Source organism: Homo sapiens, chromosome 4 (assembly GCF_000001405.40).
Source record: "Homo sapiens chromosome 4, GRCh38.p14 Primary Assembly".
Lineage (NCBI taxonomy): Eukaryota > Metazoa > Chordata > Mammalia > Primates > Hominidae > Homo > Homo sapiens.
Genome location: NC_000004.12, coordinates 144,116,482 through 144,137,274, shown reverse-complemented (window position 1 = coordinate 144,137,274; position 20,793 = coordinate 144,116,482). Strand labels below are relative to the sequence as shown.

Here is a 20,793-nt window from a genome sequence, read left to right as displayed (position 1 = left end):
AACACCCGTGGGCCTCAGTTTTCTTGTGCCTATTCAATAAAGCGCCGAGTAGATGGTATCTACAAGCATTTTTCAACTGTAAACCCCAATGAATCCCCAAAATTCAGCCTGAGATGAGCTGGACTAGTTGCCAAACCTATAAATATCTTTAGCATGGTGTGAAATAGGGTTTTTAGAAAGAAACAGACACCCACTGTGAACTCCTTTGCAGAAAAGGTCTGAATAGAGGGGAAAGTAGGGATGGTATCTCAAACTTACTTTGTAGTGATTTTAAATTAGGAAATTTAGCTTCACATTCTTGTGATAAATTTCTTTTCACCTTGGTTTCTAGAAGATTATTCAAAACATCTGTGAGACTATTTGAGAAGTATACTTTTGGGGAATTTCCCCAAGTTATCTTTATAGATTATATTTTGACATCAACTGCAAATGTAATATCTTTTACTCAAAAAAAACCCAATCCTACTTACATGGTGCTGACAAAATCAGGCTGGACCTACATTTTTACATCATAGATTTCCAGCCATTATTATCATATCCACATCTTTAGTAAGTACCTATCTGTGTAGTTTTCTGTGATAAATGAACTAAACTAAAACTAAAGCAAAAATGTTGAAAAAAAATTCCAGGTTTATCTCTGAGTGTTGGGATTGCAAGGTTTTTTTTTCTCATTTTAAATACTTTCTAAATTTTCTGCAAAGAGAACCATATAATCTAATCAGGACAAGTTTTAATATATTTTAAAAAGTAAACCGAACAAACACAATCTCTGCTTTCTAAGAAGTCTTTAATTTTTGTACGTTGGTCATAGACTATGACTATACAATTTATTTGTGATATGTATTAAGAATTTCTGTCTAACCCAAATTATTATATGTAAGCACGGGAAAAATGATGTCATCTTTGTTTGTAGTGTACAAAGTTCTATAAACAGCTATTTGATCAACTTTGGTATTTCCATCCCTAGATTTATATACAGCAGGTTAGGTTCCATACAGAGGCAGGTTCTGAATAATAATAACCAACACTGATAATAGCACTTACTTTGTGCCGTGCACTGTTCTAAGCAATTTACATACACTTAATTTTTAAAATTGTAGTAAAATACACATAATATAAATTTACCATTTGAACCATTTTAAAGTGTACAATGGGTAGCATTTAATGCAGTCAAAATGATGCACACCCATCACCATTATGTAGCTCCAGAACATTTTCATCACTCCAAAAGGAAACCTCTTACCCATTAGCAGCCACTTCCAATTCCTCCAGCCCCTGGAAACCACTAATTTGTTTTCTACATCTACAGATATACCCATTGTAGATATTTCATATAAATGGAATCATATAATAGGTAGCCTTTTGTGTATGTCCTCTTTCACTTAAAATAATGTGTTTAAAGTTCATCCATATTGTAGCATGTATCAGTATTTCATTCCTTTTATAATTGTGTTGGTATATCTCATTTTGTTTATCCACCCATCATTTGATTAAAATTTGGGTTGGCATATCACATTTTGCTTATCGATCCATCATTTGATTAAAATTTGTGTTGTTTCCACCTTTTGGCTATTGTGAATAGTGCTGCTATAAATATTCCTGTACTAGTTTTGTTTGAACCCACTTTTAATACTCAAAGATGTATAGGGGTAGAATTGCTGGGTCATAGTAATTTTATGTTTAACTTACTAAGGAACTGCTCAACTCTTTTCCACAGGAGCTGCACCTTTTGACCTTTTCACCAGGGTGTATGAGGTGCCAATTTCTCCACAATCTTGCCAGAAATTGTACTTTTTCATTTTTTTAATTATAGCCATTTCAGAGGGTATGAAATGGTTTTTCACTGTGGTTTCTTGCATTTTCCTAATAACTAATGACGCTGAGAATCTTCTCATGTAATTGTTGGTAACTGCATTTTGCATATCTTTGGAGAAATGTTGGTACTAGTCCTTCACCCATTTTTCAATCTATTTTTCTTTTTGTGTTGCTAAGTTGTAAGAGTTCTTTCTATGTTCTGGATAAAGAGTCTTATCAGATATACTATTTGCAAATCTTTTCCTTCATTCTGTAGATTTTTGTTTTTACTTTTGATAGTGTCCTTTGATGCACAAATGTTTTTCATTTTCAAGTCCAATTTATTTTTTTTTCTTTTGCTGCTTACGCTTTTGATATCATATCTAAAAATAATTGCCAAATTTAAAGTCATAAAAATTTCTCCCTATGTTTTCTTCTAAGAGTTTTGTATTTCTTCTCTTATATTTAGATCTTTGGTTTATTATCAGTTAATTTTTCTATATGATGTATGATAAGAGTCCACCTTTATTATTTTGCAGCTGTCCCAGCACCATTTGTTGAAGAGACTATCCTTTGCCCATTGAATGGTCTTGACACCCTTCTTGAAAGTTAATTGGCCATGGATATATGAGTTTATTTCTGGAGTCTCAATTCTATCCTAAGAATATGTCTGTTCTTGGGGCAAAATCACACAGTTTTTATTGCTGTTACTTGGTTATACGTTTTTAATTCATGAAGTGTGATTCACCAAACTTTGTTCTTCAAGATTGTTTTGCCTATTTAGATCCCTAACAATTTCATAGAAATTTTAGGATTAGGTTTTCCATTCTTGCAAAAAAATAATTATGTGCATTTTAACTTAACCTGTTCAATAACTCTATAAGGTAGAGACTAATCCATGTATAATGATGGAACAAAAATATAGAGATTAAGTAAATTTTGCAAGGTCTCAGGTAGTTGCTAGAGGAATTAGTTTGAGCCTAGGCAGTTCCACTGCAGAATCTGTGCACTTAGAGAATATGTCATGTTGCCTGTACCATACCTAGTGATGTTCCAGGATTGGCTCCTTTACTCTTACAACATTGTCACTCAGTGTTCTGCCTGTGCTTTCACCAAGCTGAAGACTTTAATGAAGGTTGACGGTCTGTCTTCCTCACGTGGTGCAGCTAAGGAACTCTAACTGTGTGGCTGTTATGTTAGCCTTTTGCTCCTTTTTATATGGGCTATAGAAAATGTTTTTAAATCCTGGAGGCCTCCTTTTGATGTTATCACTTATTTCCCAGTCATCACTATATTTTTAAAAGCCAAAATAGAAGGAAATAAATACAAAACATAAAACATGAATAGTACAGCTATTTGAGGCAACTGAGAATAGAGATCATGGCACTGAAATTGCATTTTGCTAGGAAAAAGACCACAAAAGTTCTCCCCTTGCTACCTTTCCTGAACTATTCTGCTAGATTCAGACTTCAAAAACATTGTATCAGGAAATACAGAAATGTTCTTTCAAAATGAGTGTATGGGAATGTGGGAATGCCTAATAAAATCTGTCCTCATTGATTCGTTAGCAAAAATCATATAAATCAATACCTTGTGATTGCAAGCAGATATATTTCAGATCCTTTCTGTGTTTGTTTTTTTGCTTTCTTGATCTATCACAATTGGAGAAAACTTAAAATTTCTCAATGGTATTGTATTTTTGCCAATTTCTTATTCTGCTTTATGTTTCTCGTTGCTATATTATTGGGCTATAATGGTCCATAATTACTTAAGAATCACTGTGAAATATATTGCTTAATGACACAAGTAAATCTTTTTCATTGTTTGTAATGTCTTTGCTCTTAATTCTACTTTGCCTAAGATTAATACGGTTATTCCTGTTTAGTTTTATATGTATTTATTTATTTATTTTGAAGATGGAGTCTCGTTCTGTCGCCCAGGCTGGAGTGCAGTTGCATGATCTCGGCTCACTGCAACCTCTGCCTCCCGGGTTCAAGCAATTCTCCTGCCTCAGCCTCCCAAGTAGCTGAGAATACAGGCGCACACCATCGCGCCCAGTTAATTTTTTGTATTTTAGTAGAGACGGGGTTTCACTGTGTTGCCCATGCTGGTCTCCAACTCCTGAGCTCAGGCAATCCACCTGCCTCGGCCTCCCAAAGTGTTGGGATTACAGGCATGAGCCATTGCACCAGTCCTAACCTATCTCTTTTGACTCAATCTAAAAGTTTCTGTCTTTTAATACAAAACCACAATCCATATGCATTCATTAATTCACAACTGACATTTAGTATCTTATTTCTGTTATCCTATTTCATATTTTATGATTCCTTGTTTCTGCTCTTTTGATATATAAATTATGTTTTATTTGCCCTTATCCTTTCATGTGTTTCTAAAGTATATAGCCTACGTGTAATTGTCCCATTAGCTAACTTTATGTTTTTGAAAGCATTCTCTCTCAGAATTCCCATTTTAGTGGTGCAGCACACATAGAAAGTCTAAGTGCTTTCTGGAGCTAGATAAGCTGGATAAAGGTGTGCATGAGCCACTGGTCAATGGCTTGTGCAGGCGGTGAGTGCATTTCTGGTATTTCATATGCTATTGATCTGGCAGCCAGGTATTCAGATAGGGTATAACCAGGTTCATCAGGCTCAAAACATAATCAAGTATTATTGAGACATAGTTAATGTGCACTACAACTCACAGCACACAGGCTCACACACACACTTGTCTGAAATAAAATTCCACAAAATAATACCTTCCCTTATTCTGTGTGATGTACTTTGATATATTCTCTCCTGTTTTATACAACTTAATTTTTTTTAGAGAAAAGATTTTGCTCTGTGGCCTAAGCTGGACTGCAACGGCACAGTCATAGCTTACTTCAGTCTTGAACTGCTGGATTCAAGTGATTCTCCAGCTTCTGCCTCTCAAGTAGCTGAGACTTCAGGTGTGCTCAACCACACCTGACTAATTTTTTGGTTATTTAATTTGTAAATATGGGGTCTTGCTATGTTGCCCAGGCTGGTCTCGAGCTCCTGGCCTCAAGCGATCCTCCTGCCTTGGCCTCCCAAAGCACTGGGGTTACAGGCATGAGCCACCACACCTAGAATACAACTTAATTTTTTAGTGCCAGTGACAACCCACTGGACTGATTTCATAACCCATTAGTAGAGGAATGCACCATCTTGACTGAAGGTTGGAATTTTCTCAGGGAATCTATGTAGCACTGATGATTGGGTTTCATATCCAGAGATTCTAGTTATGCTAATACAGAGGCCAAGCAAACTATAGCCTGTGAATGGCCGGCCCCCTGGTTTTGTATACCTTACAAGTTACAAATGATTTTTACTTTTTTAAGTGCTTAAAAAAACCAAAATAGGCCGGGTGCAGTGGTTCAAGCCTGTAATCCCATCACTTTGGGAGGCTGAGGCAGGCGGATCACGAGGTCAGAGGATCGAGATCGTCCTGGCTAACACAGTGAAACCCCATCTCTCCTAAAAATACAAAAAATTAGCCAGGCTTGGTGGTGGGCGCCTGTAGTCCTAGCTACTTGGGAGGCTGAGGCAGGAGAATGGAGTGAACCCGGGAGGCAGAGCTTGCAGTGAGCCAAGATCATGCCACTTCACTCTAGCCTGGGCAACAGAGCAAGCCTCTGTCTCAAAGAAAAAAAAAAAGAAAGACACAAAAAAAATCAAAATAATAATAATAATATGTGAATATTATATGAAATTCAAATTCTACTGCCCACAAATCATTATTGGAACATAGTCATACTCATTTATTTATGCTTTGGTTTACATATTGTCTGTAGCTGCTTTTGCACAGTGACAGAGTTGAATATTTGTAATAGATGGTCCACAAAGCCTAAAGTAGTTGTGGCCCACAAATCCTAAAGTAGTTACTCTCTCTCCCTTTACATAGGAAGTTTACTAATACTTGTGCTAAGGGATCTCAACAGACAATCTGAAAAACTTAAGTTTTAGACTAAAGATTTCCAATCTAAATTCCTGTGGAGCTTTCTGAAGCTGCCAGGTGGAGATGGGAACAGGTTGTGAGGCTGCAGGCCAAACACTCAGGCCAGCTTCCACCAAGCAGTTCAACTCTGTCTGTTTCACACACTGATGAGCTTATCCTTGGAAAGTGATTAAAGTAAAATTAAATGCGAATTGAGGGAGGAAGTGAGGGAGACTGTGGCTCTAAAACAAAACCCTAAGAAACACCAACATTTAAGATGGCAAATGATGTTATTTCTAAAGTCGTTCAGGCTAATATCACATACTATAGCTGTTCACTTTATAGATAAAGGTGACACTACAACCATAGAAAATGTAAGAGTGGACCTCGAAACTCAGGAAGATGAAGTTTACATATATTAATCTATATTACCAACTGGAGCAGTTGTTCTCACTGCTGGCCGCACATCAGAATCCAATTCCTGGGATATCACAGATGATTCTACCATGCAGTCAAGGATGAGAACAAACTAGGTTCATTTCTGCAATTTTTTTATTGTTCAACCAGTGAAAAGGAAGTACCAGTGGTGTGAGAACTTTGGGATAAAGTTTTTGTTTTCAATTAAAATTATTTTCATCCAGCCCAACTTCCTTAAGCCCAAATTTAATGTGTGTGAAGTTCAGCTACAGAAATACCAAACCTTAGACTAAAGCGGACACAGGTAAAATATGTGAAATCCTCTTTTGTTCTGAGGATTCTTTAGTAGGCAGGAGTGACCAGATAGGAATATGCTTGGCTGGAAAAATTAAGATTCAAGTTAACAAACTGTTAATAACCAGGACCATCTGCTCTTCCGTAATGTGGATTTGCCACTGCAGGTCACCCTACAATGCTATGTTAGAGGTACAACACTCTTACCCTCAGGCTATAAACAAGGTGAATTATTATCTTTATATCTCTTCATTTAGCCCTGATTTGCTGAAGTGAAGGCTCGCTTGAGAGTTGGTTGCATTATAATTTGGTGAGAATTTAATCTCTCAATGACAACTTACTTGATTCCCTCATTCTCTTTCTGCTACATAGATCACAGTAGACCTTGGCAGACAGTTCTGTAGTTACATAGGTCTGAATTCAAAATCCAGGTCTGCCACTTGGTGGCTGTGTGAACTTAAGCAAGTCAGGCAATGCTTCTGATGTTTTTTTCCTCCTCCACAAAGAATAATTAACATATAACAATAGGGTCTCAGCTAGTTGTTTTAAAAATGGTTAGAGAGATGTGTGGAATGAAGTAAGTGTGCAGTAAGTGTTAACTACAAATATTATTATCTTAGACATACAGATTTCCATGATTCATGAATGGTGAAGCATCTTAGAAGACATCCATTCCAGGCCAGGCATGGTGGTGTGCACCTATAGTCCAAGTTGCTCAGTAGAATGAGGCAGGAGAATTGCTTGAGCCTAGGAGTTTGAGGCTAGTATGGGCAATATGGTGAAACCCTATCTCAAGAAAAAAGCAAAACATTTTTTAAAGTTTAAAAAGAGAGACATCTGTTCCACTACTCTCATCTTAGAGGCCATAAAACTGAGGCTCAGATAATTTCAGAGACTTGCACAGATCCCCCAACCATTTGGTGGCAAAGCCAGGAAGAGAACTCTGCTCTCCTTTCCCACTGGGACAGTGGAAGAAATTCGTCTTGATTTCCATCTGTCCAGGCTGAAGAATGTGCACTGGCTGGAATGACAGACTGACCGACTTTTTTTCTCCACCTCTGCTGTCTCAGCAATGGTTTGGGACAGTGTGGATGACCAGAAGCTGGATAGTACAGAGCCAGGCTAAAGAGTTCAGGCTTCCTGAAGGGAAGCTGCAGTCCTCCTAGGCCACAACACCTTCGAGATAGAATACATAAAGCACCCTTCTCTACCAAGTTAGGAAAGGAAGAAGTGTGACCAATTAGCTGTATGGGGACTGCCAAAGCATGCCAGTCTGAAGATGAGCAGAAACTGGCTCATTCCATTTGGCACCTAGCACACTAACTGCATCCGTTAATAGGCCATGCTTTTCTCCAGAGCCATTGGCTGAAGAGATCAAATAAAAAGTATTGAGAATAGGCTACCCAAAACAGTAGGCTCAGATGCTATCACACAAAGCACTTTATCCTTAAGTTCAATTTTTCTAAATTGTAGTTGGCTGCTTTGGCTTAATAAAAACTTCCAAAAAAGAAAAACGAATGGCCACAGACAGTATGGGTATCTAACTATATTATCACAACTTGACCAAGATTGAACTTGCCAATCCTTTGGTTCAAGAGCCAAACAAAATCGTTCCCTTAAAATATTGCTTCATGGGAACAGTCTTCTTCAAACATCTTTTAGCACAGGCAAGATTCCCATTTATACATTAATTCTGTTCAAGACAATGAGATTGGGCAGAAAAGGCATTGAGTTGGAAGTCAATGGATATGAGTTTTTATCCCAGTTTTACCACAAATTAGCTGAGCATAACTTCCACAGATGCATTTATCAAGTAGTTTTCATGGTCATTGCAATGCCAAAAAACTGTAGCATTTAGAAAATTTAGTTTTCAGACTTGGAAACTATTTAAGGCATTTCATATGAAGGGTGTGTCCTTGTGAGAGTTTGCTTATGCAAGATAAGGCTTCTTTCAGCTGCAAGTCAGGAGCGAACCAAAACTCAAAGCAGCAGCTGCATGAGCTGACTTTATCACATCTTGACAAGAGCTCAGCCACTGGAAGTTTTGGCATACAGCGAAACTGAAGCGTACTTATACAATATCACATTTTATTTTTATTGTTTCTAATAGCATTCCAGGTTAGAAATGTCAATTATTTGGGAAAGCTGAGGGTCTGGTAGATAAAGCATGCAGCAGAGAGCTAGGAGGCTGGCTATTTCCAGTCGTTATCCTAACATGTCTTGGGCCCCCAAGTCACCCCACCTCCATGGTACAATGGGAACTGTGGCAGAAGTCCACGCTCTCTCCCCCAACACATGGGGATAAGAGACAAGAGAGGTGAAATGTTCTGGAACATATCCGATGTTATACAAGTATAAGCTGTGAGATGATCCAAACGCAAATATTGAATATTTCATTTTCTAGAAAGTATACCAATTCATTCCACCCTTCTCAAACCTAAATTACAGAATTCAATTCAGGTCACACAGATTTACTTTGTACTAAGTACCATAGCAAATGCCATTTCAGTGCCTGAAAACTGAAAAACATAAATTTAAAGTAGGAGTTTGAGGCCTCACTAATATGACAAAACATACCTTTATATTTTATTTTGCAGTAATTTGCCACTTAATCATTAAACTCTTATCAATCTGAGAGATTTGCCAACACTTGCCTGCTAGGTGACCTAAGCCTCCACATCAATGCATGTTATACTCCCCTTTCTCCATATGTTAGGCCCATGCTATTTCTTTATCCCTCCTCCTCTGCATCTTCACCTAAAACTCTGCCCATCCTTCAGGGTTCATCCAGTGATTCATTTGCAAGCAGGCATGGGGTAAGGTCTTCAGAGTATGTTTCTCAGAGGCCCATGCAGCTAAGAAAATGTGCAGTGTTGGCACAAGGTCTGTCTATTCCTGGGTAGCCAGATGCTGGACACATCTTTCATAACACCACAAGGTAAATATACTTCACTTGGAGAGAGAGGTGAAATTTTGCAGGTATAGACTGGATGTGTTCCTGCCAGAAGATGTGAAGGGATTAAGAAACTGACTCTCATCTCCGTATTGCTAGAGCAAAACATAATTTCTCATAGTGGCTATAGTATAAGGACACTGAGGGGTAAGAGATATAATCTAAGTAATACAATAAATTAGTGTGGAAAAATCATCAAAATGAAGACTACATGGTTTTTACTAAAATTCTAGCTTTTAGGATGTCCAGGGAGCTCAGGAATTTAGCTGTCCTTTTTTGTATGTACAATATGCCCCAATGCTTGCTGACTAATGTACTAAAACATTAGAGAAATCTTGCTGACAAGATCTCAACCAGTCAGCGAGATCCGGAAGGTGAGACTAATATTGAGGGTCAGCAGAATTAAGTCTCAGTTCTGCTGCTTACCAGATATGCTGATCTGAGCTAGTCATTTAATTTTTATGAGACCAAATGTCTATCTGTAAAGTCGGCAATTTGGATTAGATGTGCTGCAAGTGGTTTTCTAGCTTAAATGTACCTTCTGAATTCAACAGGACAATACTTAAACTGACCTTTAATCTAGGAATGACACAAGTAGATTTTTGAAAGCTACTTTAGCTACAGAAAGCTGAGAGCACCAAAGGCAAAGAGATAAAAATAACAGGAGAGCCTTCCCTTAATCCAGTCCCTAAGCAGTTTTGGCAAACTAAAGTTTGTTGTTCAATGGTTACGAGTTTGCTTCAATGCTTTCTACCCAGTTTACTGAACTAAATAGTATATAGCTATAGTAAAAAGTCCTATTCAAAAACCAGCTTCTCACAGATATTTTGCAGCTTTGCAGAATTGAATATGTCCACAGACGTCTATTAGCTGGTTAGGGTCTTAGGAATCTAGGAGAGCCAAGTAGTTGTGTGAGCTGTTGTTATCAAATGTAGTTTTGAACATTCTTGGTGATTTTAAGGGATCATATTGTGGAAATTTGGTTTCCTTACCTTGAATTTTGAATGAAGCTTTAGAATTTGAGGATGTTTCTTTGGTTTCTCCTTCCAGGTAAGTGATTTTTTTTTTTTTCAACCAGATGCTGGTTTATTTAATTTGAAGGTATTGATGAAATTCTTTAAATTGCCCCCATGTGATTCTACTCTGGAATAACTACGAAATTATTTAAAAGTTAATTAATACAAGAAAATATGAAAACTCATTTTTATGGGAGCTATTGTTCCTTCAAGATGACACTGTTTTGTAAACTATAGACTTCCAGTAACAAGCCTCTGTGCCTTCTTCTTACCACTAAGCATGCATGGGTATTAATTCCTACTGAAAGACTTATGCTATCTTTTTTCCAGAAATGGAAGAAAAATGAACTATGAAAAAGGTCATTTTATAGGTCAGCTACCACTATGAGATTGTTGAGGAAATGATATAAAAAACAATTTTTATCAAATTATCTTTAGGGCATTTATATGTTTATTTTCTTACTATGTTGACTTAGGTGACTATAAGAAGTTGTATCAGAGCAACTGATTCTGGTGAATTAAAGCAAGTATTTCTAAGAACATAAGTGGCAACTTTCAGTCTCAAATCAATTTGGCCACCAATCAGTTTTTGTAAGGGTACAAATAGGACATAACATGCTCAGATGGGACTTGGATAAAGTGTATACAATTTTACATCGAGGAAATTGTGTCAATGTGTTACCTTCAATGTTAGAAATTCCCAAGTTCTGACAATAGTTCAGAGCCTTGTTAAAAGCCAGAGTGGAGGCATGTAGATCCAGCTGGAAAGAGAGGCATTATGGTCTAACTTAGGACAAATTTTAAAGCCAGTGTTAGGGTCTGAGTCCAGCTTTGTAAACTTGAGTACAGTGTTTGATCTCTGGGGTTTCAGCCTTCACTTCAGAACAAAATTTCCACCAAGTGCTCTTTTACTGTGAGGAGTAGCTGTTGAAGAAGAAAGAAGTCTACTTATTTGCTAGAGTGTTACAATTGTTTTGATAAAGCTCAAAACTTATCTAAATAAGCTCTCTCTCCCTAAGCATGTTTTCATTTTTATAAAAAAGTTACATATACTTTGCTTATAAATTTAAAATACTTTTCACCTCCTCTGACTTCATTTAAAATTAAAATAATTAAAGTGCCAATTTTAAGAGATGTTAGCTCCCATTATTGGTTCTTTGCCATATTCTTTTGACAACCTGCTGTAATTTTCTGCCCCCTTTAAAGCCTCAGGCTATAGGCCTTCTCCACCAAAGGAATATTAAGAAGTGATAAGGACCTTCTGTGAGCAGAAGTGGCTTGTTTGCAAAGGGACTGCTTATCTTGGCCACTCTTGAACACAAGATGGGACCCTCTACTGCAAAGCTCTGGCATGTTTTTTTTTCCCCTAAGTTATCCTCCATACTACTGACAGTGATTTTCCCTAAATAAAAAACTGCTTCAAACCATTCATTGTCTTTCCACTGCCTTAAAGATAAAGTCCAAATTCTAGAACATGGCCCACAGCATTTGGTGCCTCACCACCTCTTCAGCCTCTCAGTTGCTGTTCACCCATTTCTCTATTCCTCTCCTTCTCACACCTTGTGCTGCAGCCACATAGATAACCTGCAGTTTTTGTAACGTGCAATGATGTCTCAAATTCCAAGGCATTGCTGGTACCACACAGCCTGCCTGGTAAAATCCTAGACTTCTTTCAAGATAAATTCAAAGACACCTCCATGAGGTCTTTCTACCTCTCCAAGTAGAGTTGACCGCTGTCTCCTTTGTGTCCCCACTTCCACCACCATCCTAAAATACTTATTATACTTAGATTAATAATTGTCGCTCTTACTGCACTGGAATTACCCTGAAAGGAAAGGCCATGTATTATTTATCATTGTCTTCCTAGTACATAGCCCACAGCCTATACCTCCCACCCCAAAAAAAACCTTTTGTAAATAATTGAACAAATTAAGAAACACCCAAGGCCCCCAGTAAACATCAAGGCCTAAGGAATGCATATCTGGATTCTAAATAATCATAAGGTTTTACAACACCATGTTAAGCACCAGGGACTTCAGAGAGCTTTTAGTCTAAATCTTATTAGAGAGGCCAGCGAAGACCTCCCAAAGGAAGTGGCATTGAACTGAGACTTGAAAAGCCAGTAGTTAGGCAAAGATAGGGAGGGAAATATTTCAGACGAAGGGAGGAGATGGCACAAGATTTAGGACACGGAAAAGGGTATGGTGCAGTCATAGAGAAAACAGATGTGCAGAATGGCTGGAGCCCCAAGAGGGAAGGGAAGGGCGAAGCAATGAAGATGTGAGGCAAGCAGGACTGGACCATGCAGAGTCTTGCAGATGTTCACAAAGAAAATTGCAGCAGGTAGTCCCTAACATCGTGCTGAACAGTTAGGCAACTTGGAGGAATATGTATATTTGTACTCATAGTCAAAACCACTAGATGGCATTTACAGACTACGTTTTGTGTATTTTTATTTTTTACTTTTTGTTTTTTTTTTCTTATGTTAGCAAAAGTATGCTCGCTATTGAAATGTTGAAAATATTTCATTGGTCTTAAAATGATGCTTATTTTTCCAGATGCTTGCATTCATTCTGCATGTGCTATTTTGTCATGTGGTTTGCTTAATTTATTAAACAATTGTATTAATTAAATATATTAATTATAAATTGATTAATTTATAATTAATTATGTGTTATAATTAAGTTAAATTTATTAATTACTTAAATTATTATATTCACATTCAGATGCAATCTGAAAACCCATTTGTTCTCACACTGCTATAAAGAAATAACTGATACTGGGTAATTTATAAAGAAAAGAGGTTCCATTTGACCCAGCCATCCCATTACTGGGTATATACCCAAAGGACTATAAATCATGCTGCTATAAAGACACATGGACGTGTATGTTTATTGCGGCACTATTCATAATATCAAAGACTTGGAACCAATCCAAATGTCCAACAATGATAGACTGGATTAAGAAAATGTGGCAAATATACACCATGGAATACTATGCAGCCATAAAAAATGATGAGTTCATGTCCTTTGTAGGAACAGGGATGAAATTGGAAATCATCATTCTCAGTAAACTGTCGCAAGAACAAAAAACCAAACACCGCATATTCTCACTCATAGGTGGGAATTGAACAGTGAGAACACATGGACACAGGAAGGGGAACATCACACTCTGGAGACTGTTGTGGGGTGGGGGGAGGGGGGAGGGATAGCATTAGGAGATATACCTAATGCTAAATGACGAGTTAATGGGTGCAGCACACCAGCATGGCACATGTATACATATGTAACTAACCTGCACATTGTGCACAGGTACCCAAAAACTTAAAGTATAATAATAATAAAATAAAATAAAATAAAATAAAATAAAATAAAATAAAATAAAATAAAATAAAAGAGGTTTAATTGCCTCATGGTTCTGCAGGCTATACAAGAAGCATAGTGCTTCTGCTTCTGGGGAGGCCTCAGGAAACAATCATGGCAAAAGACGAAGGGAAAGTAGGCACGTCTTACATGGTTGGAACAAGAGCAAGAGAGAGAGTGGGGAGAGAGAGCCTTGGAGCAGGAGCAAGAGAGAGTGGGGAGGTGCCACACACTTTTAAACAACCAGATCTTATGAGAAATCACTATCTCCCAGACAGCATCAAGGGGGATGATGTTAAGCAATGAGAAACCAGCCCCATGATTCAATTACCACCCACCAGTCCCCACTTCCAACATTGGGGATTACATTTCCCCATGAGATTTGGATGATGCCACAGATCCAAACCATACCACTCACCTAATTCTTTCTACGTAAGAATTTGTCCAAGCATTTATAACAATTAGCATTTCATTTAACATCTTTTATGAATAAAGCACTATTCTCATGCTGAGAAGATTCAAAATAATGGGAAATTGAAGTCCTAGGAACAAGTTTTATGTTTCAGAAGAGCCCATTTGGTATCCACAGGGCTAAGAAATGTGCACCCTAAATGTAAGTGGATTACACTGAACTGAAAGGTGTAAAGAAGGAGTGGAAGATTAAAGGGAGAAGCTTGGAGAGGATGAAAGTTAGAAATGGAAGTGACGAGCACACCTGAGTGAAGGATGAGAGCTCCAGCTGCATTTTCCAGTTGTATTCCCATGTTGCTGAGCCAAAGGCTGATCTCAAGTTTATTGTTACATGCCCATTTAAGGCTTCTGGCCATTAACACTTTTGATTTTTTTTGGCTTGTTGTTTTACTAGCTATTTTCACAACACTTTCATAGCTAAACCTATTTTACTCAGATTGTATGCCTTTTCAAAAATACAATAGAAGGTCCATATTCCATTATCTAGAAATAAGCCAAAGCTCATATCTAACATTTATTAAGAGAGATGGATTATTTTTGTTCATTAGTTATCTTTATAAATAATTTTTACGTACTTTAGTTGACTCATAAAGATGTTTCTTTCTGTAATTTTAATCTTAATATTTGTTGAACTTCAAAATCCCTATCACCAGGTTATTGTTTAAAAGCATTGGTTTTTATATTATCTTAAAAGCCATTATACCTGAGTGCTGAACAACTTAGAAACATTCAGTAATTGTTTTGCATGCTATTTAGTGAATTCATATGGCAATCGTTTATACATACATGATGGAATCAGGTGGCAGGCCAAGTTAAAGAGCAAGGCCAGAAAAGAACTTAAAAGAGAAGAGAAAAAATAGACAGTTTAGGAACAATAGATCATGTCTTCTCCATGATTTGGAGGTAAACTGATTACCTATCAGCTGATAAATAGAGGAAGGTTTTAGAAGTCTTCAGTTGGGTAGACTAATGAGAGGTGTCAGAGAAGATGTTTTCTGTTGTTTGTGGGTTCTCCAGGAAACTTTGAGCATTCAGCTGAGGGGCCAAGTTGGCTGCCTCTGAGAAGAAGCCCTTCCACCTCCACTCCATTGCACTTGGGTGCCATTCCCCTCAGTTGAATATCTCCAAGAGATGAGCAAATGTACATCTACAGAGTTCAGGGTACTGACTTTTATCATAATGATTTATAACTCTCAGAAGAGTGAAAAACACATGAATGCACAGAATAGGAGATTGAAATATAAACCACAGAACATTCATACAATGGAATACTCTGCAGTCATAAAAATCTTCTCATAGAAGAATATTTGACAGCATAGGGATATCTGTGGCATATTAAGTAGAAAGTCAGACTTGTAAACATTATATACATATTCACGTATATTTAAACACCATGATCCCATATTTAGATATAACAACTAAAAGTTCAGATGGCTATATATCAAAATGTGTCAAATGTTCAACCTTGCATAGGCTGACTGTAGATGAATTTTATATTATTCTTTGTGCTTTCTTGTAGTTCCCAAATTTTCTTTACTGAATCTATATTACTTTTGCAATTTAAAGAATTTAATTTATAAAATTTTATAAAATAACTTATAAATTTGAAATGTATTGCATTTAAGAATAAAAAGTGTTTAATTACAAAAATAATTCACAATTTATTTAATGAGATTTTAAAAGGATATATGTGAGTCTACATTCTGATTTCATGTTTGCATGCATGGTTTTTTTTTTCTTTTGAGACAGAGTCTCGCTCTGTCGCCCAGGCTGGAGTGCAGTGGCGTGATCTCGGCTCACTGCAAGCTTTGCCTCCTGGGTTCACACAATGTAATAGTGTTTTATTATTGTTTCCATTTTTATTGAAGAAGTAAGATTGTCCCTAGCAGATGGAGACACTGAGATATGGGACAGAAGTTTTGTTCTATATAATTATTATGCGCTTCCACCTTTCTTAGCATAGACAGTTTCCAAAATGCAACTTCAAGTTACCCCTTTATAAGCATAATAACAATAATACCCAACATATATGTAATGCTCTTTATGTGCCAAGTACTATACTAACACATGCACATTACATACACACACACCACATACACACACATATTTAAACTAATTTCGTTCTCACAATGACATTTTGAGGCAAGTATTATTATTGTACAGATGAGAAAACCAAGGCACGCTTTATCTGTAAACCTCTGCTATGCAGAAATTCTGGAGGGGCTTCTGGCCCCTTAATTTTAAAATAAGGCCAATAATACAATACTTACCACATAGCAATTCTCTAAACATTATGTAAGATATATACCAAAGCGCTTAGCTCAGGGACTGGAGGGATGTGAGGGAATTTGTCTTTTGCAATATGCTTTATGGTCCGCTCAGTCACCTCGTTCTTAATCCCTTTCTCAACTTCTATTTTATACAGAAATTGTGAGCATATCAGCATTAAGTACCACTGAGGTGGCAATGCACACTTCAACTTCTTCTTCAGTCACAAAGAGTTACATCTCATCACAGACAAATGGTTTGTTTTCATTTTTATTTTTAAATTGTGGCTCCGAAATCATTTTTGTGATGTAACCCATTTTAGGGGACCTGTCACTGCAGAGAAACTGACAAACACTGAGAAATGCGAGCTAAGTAGACACAGCCTACTAAGTAGACACAATTCCTACTATGGAGGAATTCTTGCCTCTGAAATATCTCACAGAAATAATACTGTGAGTTAAAGAAATTAAAACAATGTGGCAAAGCACAGAAATGATGCACGTGACCATGAAATAGTGGGCCAGATAAAGGGGACCTAATAGTGCGGTGGTGCGGAGGGTCTGTGGGCAAACTGAGTTCAGCTCAGACCCGGGCTCAGCTCTATGCCAGCTGCTGACCCAGGGTGAGTTGCCCTGCAGGGTTTCTATCCCATTAATTTTAAAATGGGGCCAATAACACAGTACTTATCTCACAGCATTTCTCTAAAGGCTAAATAAGAAGATGTATCTAAAAGTTATTAGCTCAGAGCCTCACACATTCTCAGTGACTGATAAACAATAAGCAAAGCTGGGTGCTGAGATAAGAGTAATCTGGTGGCAGTCTCTCTTGTTAGTTTTCAGGGGAGAAGAAGAAATTCTGGAGCCGCTGCTGGGAGGGATGTGGGAGAGTTTGTCTTTCATAATACGCTCTATGTCCACGCAGTCACCTCATTCTTGTGCCCTTTCTCAACTTCTCTTATATGCAGATACGCACAAACGGGACACATATGCAGCCACTCCTAGAGCTCATGAAGTTTCAGAAATTTCTGTTAGAACTGTTTACCCTCCAGAAGAGGAAACCGGTATGTTCTTAGTTTTAAATAGTTGCTCTGGAGTCATTGTTGTGATTGAACTCTATTTACACGAGCTGTAACTCATGACAGTTCTCAAGCTTTCGTGACAGAAAACCCATCTCTTTTACTCCAAAGCCCATATAGCACCCACAACTATTAACTGTGACCAAGAAAGAGAAGGCAAGCCCCAATTAACCTTTGTACGTAAAGCCTAAAGAATGAAAAAATATACCTGAATCCTCAATCATCAAACAGCATAGTATATACTAAGTAATTTGTAATAATTAAACTCTAGAAAATTGTGTGGCTTCGGTAGTAAGAGAGCTTCATGATGTAAAATGGCAAGTGGAGACAGAGACAAAAGTAGGATGTGGACTGAGAGGGAAGGTTAGCACAGGTGGAACAGTAAGGCAACCATACTATCAATTGCTGCTGACATAGAATCCAGAGAGACTATTGGCAAAAGCTCAAATGAGACACAGTAACAGTTTAGATTCAGACAGTGGCTGTGGCATAAATCAGAAAATTGATAGTCGCATGATCCCTCTTTGCATGGGACTGGCATCTGTGTGGAGTAATGGTTCCATATGCCTCCTTTCTTCTCCTTATTTTTAAATTTTTTAAAAATGCATTGCTTCTTGTGGAAGTCAATAAGTGATTCTTCCAATACTTTCTCATTCCTTCCCCCTCAGTTATGAGACAATTTGCTTATTTCTCATCCATGAATACTTGTTGGGTCATTAAAAGTAGATACTGAAATTACTAATGGTACGACTGACATATTACCTCATAAATGTTACTAGCTAGATGTTGAAAGTTGACCAACAACTCTCAAAATATGATTAAGAAAAGGAAACCCACAGAACAGTTTGATTCCAAAATGATTTTTTTCTTTGCACATGCCTTACTTATTTGGACTTACATTGAAATTTTGCTTTATAGGAGAAAGGGTACAACTTGCCCATCATTTCTCTGAACCAGGTATGTTAATATTTGACAAAGAATAAAAGTCATTCCATTTTAAACTATCCATTGCTTGTTTCAAATGCCTAAGAAAATGTGTCTATCTTAGAAGAGCATATGTTGTTAACTTTATTCACACAAAATTGTAAAGGCAAAGAAAATATTCTCTTTTTAAAATTAAAATAGGCATTTCTTATTTTTAAAAACATTTTGGGGGCCAGGGGCCGTGGCTCATGCCTATAATCCCAGAACTTTGGGAGGCTGAGCCTGGCTAATCGCTTGAGCCCAGGAATTTGAGAACAGCCTGGGCAATATGGCGAAATCCATCTCTACAAAAAATACAAAAATTAGCTGGCATGGGGCACGCACCTGTAGTCTCAGCTACTTGGGAGGCTGGCTGAGGTGGGAGGATCGGATCCATTGCCTGAGTCTGGGAGTTTAAGGCTGCAGTGAGCTATGACTGTGCCACTGTACTCTAGCCTTGGTAAGACCCTGTCTCAAAAACAAATACATAAGTAAATAAAAATAAATAAAAACATTTTGGAAATAGAAATACATAATTTGGTAATAGTTTTTCTCTTAAGTTAGATGTTTTACCTTTCTAACCAAGCCTGAGTACTTGAAAAAAGCCTCATAAGAGCTTATAAAACAAATGAACTTCCCTCATATAAAAAGCAAGGCATTTAAAATCATCTAATTAACTGGTACTGTATTTCAAGGGTAAATCTCAGCCTTGATTCATTTTTGGCCCAATGCAACCACTTAGGGACCATCTTGACAACCTCTGCTGAAGGGACATCCCTTCCCCTCACTTGAGTATCACTGTGTGTGCTCATTTGCTATTCTGCATTCCAACCCTCCCTTCACACTTGGCTGTGTCCACGGCTCACAGGGTAAAAAGCACATCATAGAACTTCATCACTATCGCATACATTCAAGCTAAGTGGTCAAGAAGGCTGGGCAACACCAGCAAGAGGAAATGCTACTTTTACTTTTTATCAACAATAGGGCTTTTAAATATTAATTAGGCAAATAAATGAGCCATTTTACCTTTATGTCTAGCCTTCCATTCTATTTACTTCAACTGGAAGCACTACAAATATGCTATAAATATGGAAATATCTCTTAATTGATTTCAATTGTTTCATTCCCAACATATAAATGACTCAACAAGCATTTTTAGTGACTACATTGGAGACTATGCATAAGAATACTATGGAAGGAATAAAGCTTAGAACATAGATGACCTGCATTATAATTATAATTCTACTTTTAACTAGTTGTCTGACCAAGGCTAAGTTAACCTTATTCAGCTTCTTTTCTTCATTTGTAAACTGTTTATACCAGTTTCTTTCCAAAATTATGATTCTATGATCTGTTCAATGCTCTTTTATACATTAAGACATTATTTTCTCTCATAACTTCCAAACTATGGGAGAATTTGTGGTTTTTTCCCCATATCTGAGGAGAACGTCCACTGAGTTCTTATCTACAGTTACACTAGTGAAGAACGCTGGGTCTGGAATCAGAAGCTTCAGGTCTTAGTTCTGTCATCAACTATTTTGCGACCTTGGACAAAAGACTTGATCACTCACAGTCCCAGTTTCCCACAAGGTTACTGTAAAGCACACAATTTAAAAAAAGACAAAATCTACATAATAGTATATTAATTGTGCTTTCTATTAAAAGGCAAGGTGATGGTATGCTGATGTTATCTGTCTTATTTTTCAGTTGCTATATGGTCATTTATTTCAGACTTTCATAATTTTGCTGCTCTCTTTATCTCCTGTAGAGATAACACTCATTATTTTTGGGGTGATGGCTGGTGTTATTGGAACGATCCTCTTAATTTCTTACGGTATTCGCCGACTGATAAAGGTGAGAATTCAGTTTTTAATTTTGCTGTAAATACCAATGTGAACAGCTCTAAGAGGGTTTATTCCTCTGAGTTCAGTTAAACTCAAAAGAGAAACAGAACTGCATAAAATTCCATATTTTTCAACTGGACACATAGAAGTCACTGTGTTTCTCTAGCAGAATTTTTCTTTGCATTTGCCCAATTAAAGGGAACCTCTAAATATAAATCTGTCCCCCATTTTCCCAATGAAAGATCTCCCTAAGTTTTTGTCTAACTTGCTGTCACATATTTTGATGGATATTGAGGAAATATTAAGATTCTACTTATAGTATTTACCCTATTAGTGTATAAAATATTTAAAATAATATATTTACATATGTTTAAAACTTTGA

General features: G+C 37.2%; 1 protein-coding gene and 1 long non-coding RNA gene across 8 annotated transcripts in view; one reads left to right on the top strand and one right to left on the bottom strand.

Moving 5' to 3' along the window:
• LOC105377460 (uncharacterized) overlaps nt 1-20,793 on the bottom strand; it is a 106,316-nt gene that overhangs the window by 47,239 nt on the left and 38,284 nt on the right. The window lies entirely within an intron of this gene.
• The window catches only part of GYPA (glycophorin A (MNS blood group)), a 31,416-nt gene that overhangs the window by 3,444 nt on the left and 7,179 nt on the right, over nt 1-20,793 (top strand). For 3 of the 7 annotated variants that reach the window (NM_001438046.1, NM_002099.8, NM_001438627.1), the window contains 4 exons: nt 16,687-16,785; nt 17,494-17,589; nt 18,523-18,561; nt 20,336-20,421. In NM_001438046.1, the coding sequence (NP_001424975.1) occupies nt 16,687-16,785; nt 17,494-17,589; nt 18,523-18,561; nt 20,336-20,421 (320 nt within the window). The remainder of the gene's footprint in view (nt 1-16,686; nt 16,786-17,493; nt 17,590-18,522; nt 18,562-20,335; nt 20,422-20,793) is intronic. The other 4 variants (NM_001438625.1, NM_001308190.2, NM_001308187.2 and 1 more) reach the window with 3 other exon arrangements.